Source organism: Homo sapiens, chromosome 1, assembly GCF_000001405.40.
Source record: "Homo sapiens chromosome 1, GRCh38.p14 Primary Assembly".
NCBI lineage: Eukaryota > Metazoa > Chordata > Mammalia > Primates > Hominidae > Homo > Homo sapiens.
Window position 1 is genome coordinate 42039669 of NC_000001.11, and position 18034 is coordinate 42057702.

An 18034-nucleotide genomic window follows, 5' to 3' on the forward strand; every position below is an offset into this window, starting at 1 on the left:
TCTCCCACCATTGGAACCCCCACCCCCCAAAAAATTTGGGAAACCACTTTTTCTCCATTCTAACCTATATGGTATTAAGGTTGTTCACCTGACCCCAGACTCCAGGAGTTGGGCCTGATTGTCTTAAAGCCATTGTTTCTATCCCATCCACCTGGCTACAGAAGTTAGTTTAAAGGCAGTCATGAAACCCAATCAGAGCAAAGGGATTTGAAACACACTTGCAAACGGCTTCTGGCAAAGAAAAGATTCCTCTGCCTGTAGTAGATCCTACCAATGATAGATTGATGATAAATCCATGATAATGTGACCACTTGGATAGAGATGAGATTGCCAGGCAGTGAAGGAATACTGAGGAAAGCAGAATGGGAAAAGAAGCAGAACGTTGGTTATACTGCTGGGCAGTGAACAACTGGATCAAACAACACCTGAAGCTGATAGACCTCTATACGCTTCAGTTATGTGAACCAATCAATTCCCTTTGTTGTTGGAATTTAGTTTTCTGTCTATAACATAAACAGTTCTAACAGTAACAATCTCTCTGGGCCTCCATTTTTCATAGATAAAAGTAATACGGATAACATCTAAGGAGGCTGCTGGAGTGCCAGGAGGAGGCCGTGGGAACACCGTCACCTGGTCCCAGGGCCTGGATTCGCTGCTTCCAGCCAAACACGCGCATATCAGGCCGGGGCCTTCAGACCTCACGGAAGGCATTCGCCCCAGGCCAGGTGGACTTCTGATGCAGGTTGAGAACAAAAAGAAGCACCTGGACATTCCCCGGAGCCCTCTGCGTGGTCGCGCTTCAGTGGAATTTGGGGACCCTTGGCTGCCAGCCATGCTTGCTTGATAGCAACAGAAACCAGTTCTGCCCGACTCTGTGCCACAAAAAAGCCACACCCCACTCACCTGACACCCACCCCATCAAGAGTCCATGCTGCTGGGCCCTGAGGGAGGGGAGGGCTTTGTGGTCAGGCTCCATGGCCCGCCCTGGCCCTGATCTGTCGAGGATGCGCAGGACGTCCTCTCCAACTGCACCATGCCCCATTGGGCTCAGGCGAGTTCCATCTACACCGGAGAGGGGTAGGCAGAGTGGTGAGGCTTTTGCTGAACTTGGATCAGAAGAGGACGTAAAAATGGCCCTGGAAAAAGACCGGGAAAGCATGGGACACTGGCGCATTGCGGTGTTCAAGTCCCACAGAACCGAGGTGAGTTGGGTGTTGAAGGAAGCACGGCGGTCCCAACAGTGCGGGCAGCGCCAACTACGGCTTCGCGCTCGAACTTTGAGGACTCTCATCTGGATGCACAAAGAAGAAATCATTCAGTTCTTCTCAGTGTTGGAAATCCCAAGAGTTGGCCTCGCAGGAGTTAGCTGAGAGGCTCTCGGAAAGCCCAAGGAGAGGACAGGGCACAGAGACATGGAGGTGTTCAAGAGCAGCCAGGAGGAAGTTAGGTCGGACTCAGGTCCCCCTGAGACTCATATCCGTGCTGCCCCGGACCCCTGTGACTGGCCCGGGCTTCCGGGAGCTACCCTGGCATCGTGAAGCAGGCAGGCGCAGGATGCGGGGCCACGAGGAGCATAGCGGCCTCTGCACCACGGAGCTGCTTGGTGGGGGGTGTGGGGGAACCTCAGCTACTGTCTCTCCGGAATGTATGACCACAAATATGGCGACAGTGAGTTCACAGGGCATAGCACCACCGGCCACTGCCTCTGCATGAGGGGCTGCCATGCAAAGCGACCAAGAGCGACATTTACAACCTCTTCTCTCCTTCCAACCTGGTGAGAGTCCACATTGAGATGGGCCCAGATGGAAGAGTGACCGGCAAAGCAGATGTTGAGTTTGCTACTCGGGAAGAAGCAGTGGCAGCTACCTCCAGAGACAGGGTCAGCATGTGGCACAGATACATAGAACTATTCCTGAATTTGACAACAGGGGCTAGCAATGGGGCGTACAGCAGTCGGGATGCGAGGCATGGGCTTGACCACCTACAGTGACCTGAAGAGCCAGTCAGTGAGCGGCTGTGATGGGTCTGGCCACAGCGGGCAGAACAGCATGGGTGAATAGGACTCGTTTTGTTAGCAACGTTTGAATTAATTCAATCAAATTTTCACAGGCCGCTAACAAGCAGTGAAGAGCAGTTATAATGAAGGAAGCTGTGGGACCCATTTTGCACAAAGAGTTTGTGAAATCTGGATTTAAAAATTACCTCTTTAGGCCAGGCGCAGTGGCTCAGCCTGTAATCCCAGCACTTCGGGAGGCCTAGGTGGGTGGATCACTTGAGGCCAGGAGTTCACAACCAGCCTGGCCAGCATGGTGAAACCCCTTCTCTACTAAAAATACAAAAATTAGCCGGGTAAGGTGGCAGGCGCCTGTTATCCCAGCTACTCGGGAGGCTGAGGCACAAGAATCACTTGAACCCAGGAGGCGGAGGTTGCAGTGAGCCAAGATGCACCACTGCACACCAGCCTGGGCAACAGAGTAAGACCCTGTCTCAAAAAAAAAAAAAAAAAATATATATATATATATATATATATATGCCTCTTCAGTGTTTTCTCATGCAAAATTTTCTTCTACCATGTGATATTGAGTAAACTAAAACTATTTTCAGCTTTTCTCAATTAACATTTTGTTAGTATACTTCACAGAGAAGTTATCCAAGTTTAAGTATGTTACATGTGGACCTATTACACCACATCACAGTGAACACACTGGGGAGATGTGCTTTTTTGGTAAACTCAAAGGCATCAGCTCCCTGATTCAAAGAAATGTTTCTCATGTTTGTTCATTCTAATTTATATTTTCATTTAAGATCCTTTAGGTTAAGTTGAAGCTTTTTAAAAGTGAGTTTTGAAAATTGAGACACAATACTAATACTGGAGGAATTGGTGAGGCCTTAACTTAAAACTTTCTTTGTACTGTGATTTCCTTTTGGGTGTATTCTGCCAAGTGAAACTTGTTAAATTTTTTGTTAACTAAATTTTTTTCTTAAAATGAAGACTTTTTCACAATGACTGGCACAGATTATCTACTCAGCAAAAGATAGCGAAATGACTGGGTGGTTCAAGATAATTCATTTTAATTGTAATGTATTTAAGTGTGAATTTAAAAATAGTTTCATACATTAAATCTATGATCTCCCTTATATTCTAATAATGAGGCTAAATAAAAGTCTAATAAAAATATTTTTAAAAAATAATTCTGCCAGTTCTCACATCCTATGAGTCTTTCTGAAGGGTAAATACACTCATGAAAATTTAAATGTATTGTCTTATACCATTAAGCACTAAGGAAAGTAGGACTGCCCAGTTTAACCCAACAAAAGAAAGCTAAGACTAGAAATGCAAACAGAAATCCTTCATCTTTGTCCTGTACTAGGAGTTACCCTGATCTCTACCTCCCCTGCTAGCCCCCTATACTTCAGCCACTTATTCCTCTACTCTGAGAATAGTTGGGGGTGAGGGAGAGTAATCTGGAAAGGAACCTTATAAAGTGGCCCTACTTTAGAAGACTTTGGATTCAGTCACAGACACTATTCTTGCTGATGCCCCTTGTTGGCCTTGGACTCCTTGTTCAGGTTCTGACCTCTTCTACCCAAACTCTTTGACATGAGTCTTCCCAGATCACTCTCCTCTGCCTTTTCTCCCTCCCCAGATCTGACGCCTGGATTATATATTTCGCTTGGCTGCATGCCCTCATGTCTGCATTCCCAGCCCTGACCACCTTCAATCAGTTGAAAGTGGTGATATATTAGTCAGGCAACTCCAAAGCACAGATTAGTTTATCTGTAGCAACAGGGCCTAAAGGAAGAAGTCCAGGGATGGTTATTTAGTGGAGCAGAGTCACTTAATAAAAGGCATTAAGCACCTTAGAAGCCTGAAGGTGTGAGCAAATTGTTTTATACACTGCACTTGCAATTATGTGTGAAAGTTTTCACACACCTGGCTTCCTAGATACATAGCCTTTTGAAAATAATGCATTTGGAAATGCAATTTAATCAACTTCTTAATTTGAAAAAGCATTATCTAGGTCCCTGACAGATATTGTGTTGGAACACTGGGGCCATACCTGAAGTTACGGGGACCTCAGGGAAGAGTTGATATGGAAAGAATCCTGGTTGGAAATAGTTTTTCTAGAAATAGTTAGAAATTAAAAAATTAACTAGCATGCTGCTAGTTAACTTTGTTCTTTCCTCTGGCCTTGCAAGATTCATGGGAAAAGACCTTCAGCACTGTTGTGATTGAATCATTTCACATTTTATGACCAGATAACCTTTGCATATAGAGATGACTGGGACAATAGTCCCATTCTTGAGGAGCTCAGGAGGAAAAGGACACTACATCAGTCAGGTCCAGCAGGAAACAGAGCTCACCCCATTTAACTCAATGAGATCTCAATCAAGGGAGGACTTAGAGAAGTGTGGGCAGAGCTGGTGACGCATCCAGATACCAACAACAGCAGAGAACCATTACCACCCCCAATAATGAAGAGACAAGCAGAGGGAACAGGAGAGTGGGAACCATGGAGGAGGGGCTCCCTCAGGAGCTGCAGTTAGACAAAGATCTGGCTTCTACCAGAGGGGAGGCTTCAAGGCTAGGACCATGGGAGAAACTGCCTTGACCTCTCTTGCCTCCCATTCTCTAATACCCTGCAAATGCATATCACCCACTAACTCAGACAGATAACCTACTAGCAAGGGAGTCCGGATGACAGTCTATAGGGATCAGCCTCCTGGGGGAAGAACTAAGGCAGATGTAGATAACCGATATGGCAGCATAAACAAAGAATAATCAAACCAGAACACCCCATTTTCCACCCAGGTCCCATTTTTTTTCCCTTCATTTAAATGATGAGAATCCCATCCCAAACACAAGGAGACACATGAGTCATCAGCCACTGTGTTATTACTGGTGACATCATTTCAAATGTACTCTCACCTGGACCCTAAATTTTGAGGTTGGCTACCATCAGCACTCTTCATGTAAAATAGTATGGAGAAGGGGAGGGGAGGGCAAGATAATTGGCATAAAATAAGTATGGCTTCTATGGTCTCCCCTTCTGTAGTCTTTCATGAGGCCGGAGCAAATAATCACCGCTTCCTTTTATTCCGTGATCACTTTATCCTCTACCAAACACTTATCACCTTATCTTGAGAAGGTCTGAGATCCAAACCTTCATCCCCAAATAGCTGAGCCCTTACTAGTCCTCTCTGCAGTAGGTGGTCAGTTTCCCACTGACCTTCATTATTGGACATGGAAGTCCTGGAAGTGACCCCAGAAATCCCCTGAGTTTAAAATATAGTCTTCCCAGCCCTATTGCATGGCAGCAACCCACTTTCTTCTTGGTACTCAATATAGTGATCCCTCCTCTTCCTATTGGTTCAATGGTGTGAGTTCCAAAATGGCCAAAGACAGGCTCAGCTTCCAATTCCTTGGTGGTAACATTCCTCCCTTAGGGATATTCAGGCTCAAGATCATGGAGATGGAAAGCAAAAGTTCTATTAAGTGGAGAATTAGCTGTGATAGTTACAAGGGTCACTCCTAATGCTTCCCCGTGTTTCCCAGCCCACAGGTCGTGCTAGGAAGGAGACGGGACCAGATATTGACTGCTGGTTTAAAGTATATGCTAATCCTACAGGTGAGCTCAAGCCTTGCATGGTGTCATATCCCAGTTGGCCTACTGAACCCTCACTACATACACCTTAGAAGCCCTGTGTTGAAGATGACAGCGCTGCAGTCAATCTTTGTCCTTGGATGACAATGTGGAGTGCAGCTGCCCACCAGTCTAAAACACTCATTTTGGAATTGTTATGTATGAGAGAAATGCATCCCTATCTAATTTAAGCTATTCTACTTTACCGTCTCCTAGTTACATTATTTTAACATTGCCCTAATTAAGACAGCCATCTTGGCTGTTAGCGTAGCCCTAACTTATGCTTTTTCTGGTTAAGTTGTGAGGAGTGTCGGTTGGGGTGGAGGGTGGAGAGAGGGGAGGGCCTCTGGTCTTATAATCTAGGCTTAAATATGCTGATTTGCTGCAGAGTCCCCGCTGGGCAACGCTGTGCCTCAGAAAACCACCCCATACCTTGATTCCAAGCGCTGCTCTTCCTCGGTGTCCTCCCTCTATGGTAGACAGCTCCCAGGTGATTCTTAGTGTCTTTCCAGTGGTTTTTCAGATTCCTCCCTCTTCTGTGGTTCCCTCTCCCTTCTGAGGCATTGTCAGGGAAGGGTTGAGTAACTGGTGCTGGTTCCCCATCCTGCGTTGAGATGAGGCCGTGGAGGGCCCGTAGCAGGGGGAGGAGTAGGAATTCTAGGAAGGCAGCTATATATTATATCACTTCATTCCTATGACATTTCCAGAACAGGTAAATCCATAGAGACAGGATGCAGATTCACAGTTTCCAGGGTCTAAGGGGTGGCAGGAATAGAGGGTGACTGCTTAATAGGTAGGGTTTTTCATCTGGGGATAGTAAGAATGTTCTGGAATAAAACAGTGGTGATGGTCGCACAACCTTGTAAGAACCACTGAATTGTTTACTCTAAAATGACCAAAATGGTGAATTTTATGTTATACTAATTTATCACAATAAAAAAACAATAAAGTGGTTGGATTTTATTCTAATTGAGTAAGAAGATGGTGGAGGATTATAGGGGTGAATCTGGCAGTGACTGAAGTAAACAGAGCTGTAAAAGAATCATTTGACCTTGTAGTCCTGCTTGGAACATCTGTTTCCTCCTGCATGGGGGGTGATGGGGATGGAAGGGAGTAGGGGGACAGCAGGCAGAGTAGAGGATGCTGACACCAGAGAGGGCAAAAGGCAAGCTGCTGGGCTAGGCATCATTTCTAGACTTTCCTGATTGACATGGATTTTTTGTTGTTTTTGTTCATTTATTTTTTTTTCAATTACTCAGCATTCTAATACCTTCCTATGTGGGGAGAATCCAAATGGGAGGGGTCCTCCTTTGTAAACCTTCGTTATAGGTAGGAATCTTCTCTCTGTGCCCTGTCCCACACCCCCACCTGCCAACCACACTTGGTCTCAGACATCTAACCCAGCCCAGCTAACGAGATATTCCTTCTGGGACTTGGAATCATGACGAGTGATGCAAAGACACAGATGAGAGCAGGTGAGAGTACACAGAACAGCTGCGCCACCAAGGATGAGAGTCCACTGGCTGCTGTGTTGTGCAAGATCTGGGGCTTTGGCATTGCATGTTCAGGGGCAGCTGTGCCTGGCAGCATCGTTACCAGACCAATTCTGAGGGGTGACCTTGGCTTTGGCAGCCGCTCCCTGACCTCTTGTTGTGGTTATTTTCTGAGCATAGTTCACCAGCCTCATTTCAATTCTCAAACTACCCAATATCCTTCCAATAAATTCCTTGACTGTTCAAGTTAGCCTGAGCTTGTTTCTGTTGCTTTGAACTAGGAACCCTGTTACATTAATGTAGTCTTAACCACCTCCCTTCAAAACAGAAAACATGGTACATCCCAGTTAAATGCCTATGACTCCTTGCAAAATTAAAATACTGTCTGCGCCTTGATTCTTGTGTGTGTGTGTGTGTGTGTGTGTATTTCACTTTAAAGATTACAGATGTGAAAACAAAATGCATTTCCATGTACTGAGTTATTGTAGCTATGGTGATGAGCAGACAGAGCACTGCTCTAACAATTAGAAGACCAGGCCACAGCTAGTTGTGTAACCCTGGGCAAGTCAGTTTCTTCTCTGTTCAGGCTGAGATAAACTGTGAGCCCTTTTCTAGTGTTTGAGATTCTGTGATTCAGGAATGCAAAAGAAATCATTTATATTAACACCATGCCTAGGAAAACAAACTATTTTCTCTCACAAACAGGCACAGTCTGACTCAATCTCATACAACTAAGATAACTTCAGTTGTCAATCTGTACTTCATCTATTAAATAATGCATATCATTGTAGACAAGCCACAAAAGTTAACAACAGCCTCATCTCTCTGTGGGAATGTCATCTGCAATGATAATACTAACAAGAGCTCACGCTTGGATTGCATTTACTACATGCCACAGCTCTAGGAGTATTGCATATATGAGCTCATTCAATCCTTACAGCAGCCTCAGAAAGTAAGTGCTATTATTATCCCATTTACAGATGAAGAAAGAGAAGCACAGAGAGGTTGGGAAACTTGCCCAAAGTCACTCAGTCAGTAGGTGACAGAACTCAAACTCAAATTATCTGGCTCTAGAATCCAACCACTTTGTGTGTGTGTGTGTGTGTGTGTGTGAAAATCCACATAACATAAATTCACCATTTTAGCCATCTTAAATCATACAATTCAGTGGTATTTAGTACACTCACAGAATCCATGCTTTTAATGATACACTATACTACCAAAACTAGATCTATCATCAAATAAATAAACTGTAATTACAATCAGTTTTACAGACGAAGAGATAGTGAGATAGGGCTGTCGTTTCTTTCATCCATTTCAGTGTATTCAATAGTAGTAATGTAATTTCCAAATGAAGATTATAGAGTTGTGATGTGATTCCTGGGGTCTTAGGAAGCTTTTAGCTCTAGTCTACTTTTTGCCTCTAAGAAAGCTGCATCTAATCTTAATCAGCCTGGAAAGATGAGTGTCCATCACATTTTAATACTTCAGCAGAGGATGGAGCAAGGGAATCCCAAGCTTCCTCTAAGGGCTGGTCCCACTATTTAAGGACACCTATCAACAGAAAGTCCTGACCTATGTCCTCATTCACAAATGAATGCATTCAGCTTTTCCCTGATTTTAGGGATGGAGAGGCAGGTGTTGAAATACGTTGGTCAGCATTTCCTCTGCAATAATAATTCTAATGACAGCTCACACTTGGATAGCATTTACTAAATGCCATTGTTCTAAGAGTTTTGCATATATGATAATCCTTTATGACCTGGCTGTGTGTGGCATTGGGTAAATTATTATTACTTCTTCTAAACAGTCTCTCTTGTGACAGTCATTCACTCAGCAACTCCTGATGGCACCTGTTTTGCACCAGGCGCTGAGCTGAACCCTGGAAGCAGGAAGGATTGCCAGATAGTTGGGTGGGTAAGTATTGGGCAGTGTTTCTCAGCATGGTTGGGGAGGGGGTTACCAGTTAATCTTTCCAAAATACAATGTTCACTCTCACTGGGTCCTGACGTACCACATAAGTTGTCGGGGCTAGAGTGGCAGGTGGGTTTGGGAGTGGTGCATTTCAAAAAAATCCCTCCCAGATACATCTCATTTTCCTTATTCTCCCCCCAACCACCATTGACCAAACCCCCAACCCAAGCACATCTATTCGTTTAGAACCATTGAAATTGGTGATTTCCGAGGCTACTTTGGGCTCTAAAATTCTATGGTGCATTCTCAATTCAACATTCCTTAGGCGTCTACTCTGTGCTAAGCACAGGAGCTACAGAGGAGAATAAGATCTTGGTAGACACAGTCCCTGCCCCCGTCCACTCTCGTTCTGGTTGAGACACAGACAAGCAAAACAACAGTATCAATATAACATGAGGGACCTGGAGTACAGGGAAGTATTTCATGAACTGAACATCCCCTCGGGTGACACTTCAACTTTCTCTTCTCCAGAATAAGTGATTCTTTTGCCTTCTTTTCTAAGCTCTTATTTCCCAATGATCAAACAATATCATCAACATCTGACAAGTTCTGAATCTGATGCATCTGCCTTCCTTCTGGTTTCAGATGCAAAGCATATTCTCCACACAGCCTCACACCAGTTCCAAACCCTGCATGCTAACATTTCTCTGCCGAAAGGCCTTTTTAATGAGGAACTTGGTTCAGGCATCAGCTATAGAACATTAATATTCATGGTTAGTATTTGTAAAAACCTTTATTTTAATCTTTTGTTTCTGTTGAGGGGGGAGTGTTAAAATGGCCAGAAATTCCCAATTCCCATTTATTCTATCCAGGCCTCTATTTTCAGAGTATTTTCTTTTTGGCTTCCATTATTTCATTGGGGTTGGCAATGAAAGTTAGTCCTACTCCTGTCCAAGTGTTAAATGGATACTCATGTGTCTTTTTGCCACATTGGTATACTTAATTTTATTCCAAATAGGATTTTTCTTTTTTCCCCTCTGCATGCAAATGTGTTACCCTTTCAGTGTTTGCATAATAGCAGTAATTCTTTCATTTGTACAAAAGGACATGCATTATTTTGGCAGATAGATGGAGCTTTGATGGAGAGATTATTACATTTCCAAAAGCAAAGAGAATAAATGAGAATTTAGCTAGACGCTGACTAAACACCCCCTTCCCCCAACTCCACTGATCATGAGCCAAGTGTCTAACACACTATACTTTCCTCCCAGACAACAAACCTTGCAGAACAGTAGGACCTTGCCGGCTGTTCTCGGTTCTCTGCCCTTCTCTGCGTGGCTCTGTGGACTGTATCACTTGGCCTCCCTTGCCCTACAGCTTCTGGCTGGTTAAGCCAATAGGAGGCACCAGCATGAGAATGGAGGATGGGAGTAGAGGGAAGCTGGGCTATTTATTTTCCTGCTCCCTCCCTGCCTTTCCATAGGTCAAGCAGTAGTTGTACCCCTCCAAGGCCACAGATCAGTTGAGGAGCCCCTCTTCTACAAGTCCAGCTCTCACTGGACTCTGGTAATCCCCTTCCTGCTCCTCACTGCCTCTAGCAAGATCCACAGAGCTTCATTACCCCTTGTCGACTAACCCTGCCCATATCCATGTAAATATTCCTTATACTCAACACTTTGAGTGTGCCATCTTTTTCCTTAGGACACTGAGAGAAGCATCATATTCCCAACACTTCACTTAGCTAACTAGATCCTCCCTCCTCCTCCAAAAACAAACAAATACATAGCACTGGGAAAGTAATAAAGAAGTCCAAAACCACTGAGGTCTATAGGTATCTACATGTCACCTCAAAGTGTTTAGACACTGCACAAGGCAGAAGAGGAGTTTTCCCTAGGCGCATCTAGCTTCACTGCAGTCATGTAGATGATTGGCATCTGTTGGTTTTGCCTGTCACTGGGTCACCTTCTTCTGGTCACAGTTCCCTGATTTTCCTTGGGGAGCTACCTCTTCAATTCTCTTAGTACATGTGGATTGGATGGGGCTGTTCTCACCCTCAGCTCAGAGAAAATATAAGACCCCCAGCTCGGCCACTCAGGCCATCATTTCCTCCAGGCCACAGCAATTGGTTCAGGGATGGGCAGGTGATCTAAGCCAGGCCAATGGAAACCAGTTAGATAAAATTCTAGGACTTTGGCTGGAGCAGCTAGAGAGGAGTAGAGCCCACCTGAGAACTGAAAAATCACAGAGAAAGCAGTCAATAAATGAGGAGAGGATAACTGGGCTCTGATCATGTCATTTGCATGCTGGATCAAGCCTAGCCTTGCTCTTGCAATTACATGAACAAAAGGTTCTGTCATTTCATTTGTTTCAGCTGGGTTACCATCAGGGAAAGAATCCTGACTACTACATTGAAGATGGAAGCTCTTTATACACTCAGAACCATCATGGACTGGGTAAGGGGGAGGCAGAGAAGAAAACAGAATTGAATATTTCTAGATCACGTATTATTGTGTGCTGTAGAATAGAGCACATATTAATGTAGGTTAATTCATTTAATCCTCAAAATGACTTTACTCAGCTAAATTGAGGAACTTGCTAAGTGCCATACAATTAGTAAATGGCAGAGTTAAGTTCAAACCAAGGACACTCTGCCTGCAAAGATATACTTGCTCTGCTCTGATGTGCTGCCATTATCATCATCATCTCCATCATCTGCCTCCTCACTGTTACCATCACCATCATCTTCAGGATGCTCCCTGAGGATCTGGACCATAGCGGTAGGAAGCTGAGCTTTCTAACTCAGAAAACAGACCTTCAAACATATAAGTAAATGAGTGTGCAAATAACTATAGCAAGAAGTACAAAGTGATCAGTACCACCAAAGAGGAGCAGATATCATGTTGAGAAAGATTACTTCCATCTGAGGTAGACCTCTAGAAATGGCTGAAGGAAATCCAAAGACAGGAAGGAGTCTCAACAGAGGCATTAGGGATAGGAATGTCAGATCATAAAAGATTCAGTTTGCACATTTACAACCTAAACTAATATAGTTCTGGTGCCCCAAGGTTCTGTCCTTGCCTCCCTTCTCTATTTTCTCTTGACGTCCTTCCTTAGCAATAACAAGGCCAGAAAGCTGACAACCCCCCAATCTCCCATTTACCACAGTGCTTGGCACAGTCCCTTTAAACTTCAGGGCAAAGAGTGGAGAGTCATACAGTCTTCCAATGTAAATATGCCTACTCTTCAGTGGCGTTCACCTTAAGGTCCAAGGAATAGTGAACTGGCAACTGGAACTGGTATTGAAGGTGAACCTAGAAGCCTCTAAACGTGTCCTTAAAGACCCAGCATGTCTAGGCTCCTATTCAGCTCCCAAAGAAAGAAGTGTCATATATCCTAACATTGACACTTGTTCCAAAGATGATGTGAATTCAGCCCTGGAGATACAGCCCTTTTTCTCTTTAGCAGAAACCCTGCTTCTGACCTCTCCTTTCCCCTCTAGATGTCTCATTACTCTTTGAATGAGACACAAGCTTTTCTACACGCATCACTGTCTTGTTTTAGCATACTTCCTCCCTCCATCCATCAACAAAAGGTGTTGCACTGATGCTAAACCAGGCACAAAGACCAACCCCCAAGTCAGTGTGTCTGCCAAGTAAAACACATGAAAACTTGGTGCACTATTTTTAAAAGCAAGTTAAATAAGGTGCCTTTAAAGTTGAGTCCCCCGGGATTGTACTGAATCCCTAGGTTCTTGGTTTTATGACCACAAGGGACCAAGCAGGTTGGCTTTAATTGTTAAACTAGGCCACTTAAGCCACGGAGCCCTTGTCTAACAGGACAATATTTATAGGGATTGCATCATCGCATAGTCGAACTGTTCTTCTCAGACTGAGATCATCCTTTAGTTTGCTGGGATATTTTTTAAACTCCAGGAGGAAGAAAGAAACCTTCTCTTCATTAATAGAAACTACTAATAAGAGTAGAAGAGTACAATAATGTTGAAATGATAACATTTTAGCCACATGAAAAGCAGGAACTTAATATTTTCTACCGGAAAGATTTTTGATTCACAGCTATTGAAAATTTGAAGATGATATTTTGGCCGCTGGAGGCTGGGACAAATTTGATTAAAATTACTAGACAAGGGCCGGGCGCAGTGGCTCACGCCTGTAATCCCAGCATTTTGGGAGGCTGAGGCGGGCGGATCATGAGGTCAGGAGATCGAGACCATCCTGGCTAACACAGTGAAACCCCATCTCTACTAAAAACACAAAAAATTAGCCAGGCGTGGGGGCGGGCGCCTGTAGTCCCAGCTACTCGGGAGGCTGAGGCAGGAGAATGCCGTGAACCTGGGAGGCGGAGCTTGCAGTGAGCCAAGATTGCGCCACTGCACTCCAGCCTGGGTGACAGAGCGAGACTCCATTTCAAAAAAAAAAAAAAAGAAAGAAAGAAAATTACTAGTCAAGAAAACTGAATGGAATCAAATTTTCTTCAAAAACCACATTCCTGTGGTTTTATATAACACTATTGTTCATGTGGTACAGATTGATGTGGTTTTCTTTTTTATTTTTTTCATCAACTTCTATTTTCCGGAGTACATGTGCAGAATGTGCAGATTTTGTTACCTAGGTCAACGTGTGCCATGGTGGTTTGCTGCACATATCATCCCATCGCCTAGGTATTAAGCCCAGCATCCATTAGCTATTTTTTCCTAATGCTCTCCCTCTCCCCACCACATCCCTCAACAGGCCCCAGTGTGTGTTGCTCCCCTCCCTGTGTCCACGTGTTCTCATTGTTCAGCTCCCACTTATAAGTGAGAATATGCAGTGTTTGGGTTTCTGTTCCTGCATTCATTTGCTGAGGATAATGGCTTCCAGCTCGATTCATGTCACTGCAAAGGACATAATCTCATTCCTTTTCATGGCTGCATAGTATTCCATGGTGTATATGTACCACATTTTCTTTATCCAGTCTACCACTGATGGGCATTTGGGTTGATTCCATGTCTTTGCTATTGTGAATAGTGCTGCAGTGAACATATGTGTGCATGTATCTTTATAACAGAATGATTTATATTCCTTTGGGTATATATCCAGTAATGGGATTGCTGAGTCAAATGGTATTTCTGGTTCTAGATCTTTGAGCAATCGCCACACTGTCTTCCACAATGGTTGAACTAATTTACGCTCCCACCAACAGTGTAAAAGCATTCCTTTTTCTCTGCAACCTCCCCAGCATCTGTTGTTTCTTGACATTTTAATAATCGCCATTCTGACTGGTGTGAGATGGCATTTCATCATGGTTTTAATTTGCATTTCTGCAACGATCATGACTGCATGAATGTCTTCTTTTGAGAAGTGTCTGTTCATGTCCTTTGCCCACTTTTTAATGGGGTTGTTTGTTTTATTCTTGTAAATTTGTTTAAGTTCCTTGTAGAATCTGGATATTAGATCTTTGTCAAATGGATAGATGGCACACTTTTTCTCCCATTCTGTAGGTTGTCTGTTCACTCCAATGATAGTTTCTTTTCCTGTGCAGAAGCTCTTTAGTTTAATTAAGTCCCATTTGTCAATTTTTGCTTTTGTTACAATTGCTTTTGGTGTTTTCATCATGAAATCTTTGCCCATGCCTATGTCCTGAATGGTATTGCCTAGATTTTCATCTAGGGTTTTTATGGTTTTGGGTTTTACATTTAAATCTTTAATCCATCTTGAGTTGGTTTTTGTATAAAGTGTAAAGAATGGGTCCAATTTTAATTTTCTGCATATGGCTAGCCAGTTCTCCCAGCACCATTTATTAAAAAGGTAAAAATACCTTTCCCCATTGCTTGTTTTGGTCAGGTTTATCAAAGATCAGATGGTTGCAAGCATGTGGTCTTATTTCTGAGTTCTCTATTCTGTTCCATTGGTCTGTGTGTCTATTTTTGTACCAGTACCATGATGTTTTGGTTACTGTAGCCTTGTAGTATAGTTTGAACTTGGGTAATGTGATACCTCCAGCTTTGTTCTTTTTTCTTAGGATTGTCTTGACTATACAAGCTCTTTTTTGGTTCCATATGAATTTTAAAATAGTTTTTCTAATTCTATGAAGAATGTCAATGGTAGTTTAATGGGAATAGCATTGAGTCTATAAATTACTTTGGGTAGTATGACCACTTTCATGATACTGATTCTTCCTATCCATGAGCATGGAATATTTTTCCATTTGTTTGTACCCTCTCTGATTTCCTTGAGCAGCGGTTTATAGTTCTCATTGAAGAGGTCCTTCACTTCCCTTTTTAGCTGTATTCCTAGGCATTTTATTCTCTTCATAGCAATTGTGAATGGGAGTTCATTCATGATTTGGCTCTCTGCATGCCTGTTGTTGGTGTATAGGAATGCTAGCAATTTTTGCACTTTGATTTTGTGATTGATGTGGTTTTCATTGTTTGGACTACCCATAATATACGTATACTGTAGAAGAGTGAGTTTATTTTTCTGTTACTCTTTCAGATGAACTTTCCAGTCATGTCATAACATCATGATTTTGTTGTTTTATTTATCAAAGCTAGTTGACACACATATGATTTACTCATAATGGTCACAATGGCTAACATTTGTTGGGCACTTCCTGTGTGCCAGGTGCTGTGCATATGAATTTCATACATATTATGTCATTTAATTCTCAAGCAGTTCTATCAGTTCCTATTATTACCACCACATTAAAGATGAGGAAAAGGAAGCTTAAAAAGTAGTGTAAGCTGCCCAAAGTCATAAACCTAGTAATCAGTGGAACTGGAACTTAAAGCCAAGACTGAGTGATTCCCAGAAATTCCCAAGCCTCTTCGCCACTATATCAGGCTGACTTTTATTGACAAATGGATTGTGCACTTTCTCTATCCAGTTCTGAAGTTGAATTGTAGAGTTTTTTAAGATGGTTTTCTGGGGGAGATGCCATGTTCTATGAAGGGCACAGAAATCCTCAACAAATACAACAGACTTTTGTGCTTACTTAGGCAGCACATATACTAAAATTGGAACAAATACAACAGACTTTTAAGTTGCCTTATTTTCGCTAAAACAATAAAAATGCTTATGCATTTGGGAAATTGTTAAATAATAAATACAAGTTAAATTATTTTAGTAAAAAATATTGCTTTCAGGCCAGGCACAGGGGCTAATGCTTGTAATACTAGTACTTAGGGACGCCAAGATGGGAGGATTGCTTGAGCCCAGGAGTTTGAGACCAGCCTGGGCTACGTAGGGAGACCCCCATCTCTATAAAAAAAAAAATGGCCAGGCATGGTGGCACATACCTGTGGTCCCAGCTACTTTAGAGGCTGAGGAGGGAGGATCATTTGAGCTCTGGAGGTCAAGGCTACAGTGAGACATGGTCATGCCACTGCACTTCAGCCTGGGCAACAGAATGAGACCCTGTCTCAATAACAAAAAATACTTTCAGTCTGTAGTTATCTAGCTATAACATGTAGCTTTCAGAAACTAAAATTACATGAATTTTCAAATAAAATGAAAAACTTTACAATGTGGATTGGACTTCTGGTCAAGAAAAAGCATCAAGAATGAATGCTTTGATCCACCTGCTCTGCTTCAAACTCATTAAATCCCTACTAAAATATAAGAAGAGAGGGTTAAAAAAATAAACAGCTTCACTGAACAGAACTAGAAATTAATCACAATGTGGTGAGTGGGTCTGAAGCCATGAGTCTGTTACAATCCAGGTCTGTAAGCATATAGTAGTAGCTTGAATCTTGACTCCTACCATGTAATAGAAATGAAAGTGCTTCATGCACAATTGTGGATCAGAAGAAGATTTACTGTGGAAGCCAGAGGCTTGAATGAAGCTCCTCCCTCTACAGAAAAAAAGTCTATTAAGATAAAGCAATTATTGACTACTTCCTGAGACTACATTTTACACAGGGTTCTTGGCTTGGAAAGCAGACTGTAGATGCACTTCCTGGCCAGGAACTCAGCCAGATACCTGCTGCCCTATAACTAGATTTGTGATAGTCCCAATATCACTGCAGAACAAATTCCACCTGGTGCTGCACTAGGGGCCTGAGAAAAGGTCAAATGGAGACAACTGTAAATTCCCAAAACTGCTAGACAAATAGGATGAGAGAAAAATATCACACACACACACACACACACACACACACACACTCTTTCAAGATGTAGCTGCTATAACAAATGAAGAAATCTGAAACTAAAGAAGAAAGCCTAGAAAACAATCAAAATTATTAATTGAAGCATGAAATGCCTAGAGATAAAATAATTTTTATCTTTGAAACAGTCTTACCAAGACTTTAAAATAAGGATGTCTAGACCGTTCAAAGGCATAAATTAAGGCATTGCATTCATTAATAGTGACGAAGGAACTATGAAACACAAAGCAGATATAAATAAAACAAAACCGGGTGGGTATTTAGAAAAACCAAATATACATTGGAACTAAAAAAAAAAAAAAAAAGCAGTTACCGGCTGGGCGTGGTGGCTCATGCCTGTAATCCCAGCACTTTGGGAGGCCAAGCCAGGTGGATCACGAGGTCAGGAGTTCGAGACCAACCTGGCTAACGCAGTGAAACCCTGTCTCTACTAAAAATACAAAAAAAAATCAACCGGGCGTGGTGGCAGGCACCTGTAGTCCCAGCTACTCAGTAGGCTGAGGCAGGAGAATGGCGTGAACCCGGGAAGCAGAGGTTGCAGTGAGCCAAAATCACACCACTGCACTCCAGCCTGGGTGACAGAGCGAGACTCCGTCTCAGAAAAAAAAAAAAAGCAGTTACCAAAATAAATCCTCAAAAGACAAGAAATACTCTAGATTAGATCCAAAGAGAGTAATAAATTCAGAAATAGTTTTGAGAAATAAACACAGAACTTAGTCCAGAGTGACAAAGAGATGATTTTTAGTACAATGGTTAGCAGACATGAAAGATTCATTGAGAGGCTCTAACATGTATCTGGTAGATGTTCCAAAAGAAGAGAA

General features: G+C 42.8%; 1 long non-coding RNA gene and 1 pseudogene across 1 annotated transcript; both read left to right on the forward strand.

The window, feature by feature from the left end:
- On the forward strand, nucleotides 877-3177 carry HNRNPFP1 (heterogeneous nuclear ribonucleoprotein F pseudogene 1; annotated as a pseudogene).
- LOC124904161 (uncharacterized) lies at nucleotides 5555-12110 on the forward strand. The gene is made up of 3 exons (XR_007066032.1): nucleotides 5555-5630; nucleotides 8964-9055; nucleotides 11424-12110. It is a non-coding gene; the product is annotated as an uncharacterized LOC124904161 (long non-coding RNA).
- Nucleotides 12111-18034: the final 5924 nt, after the last annotated feature.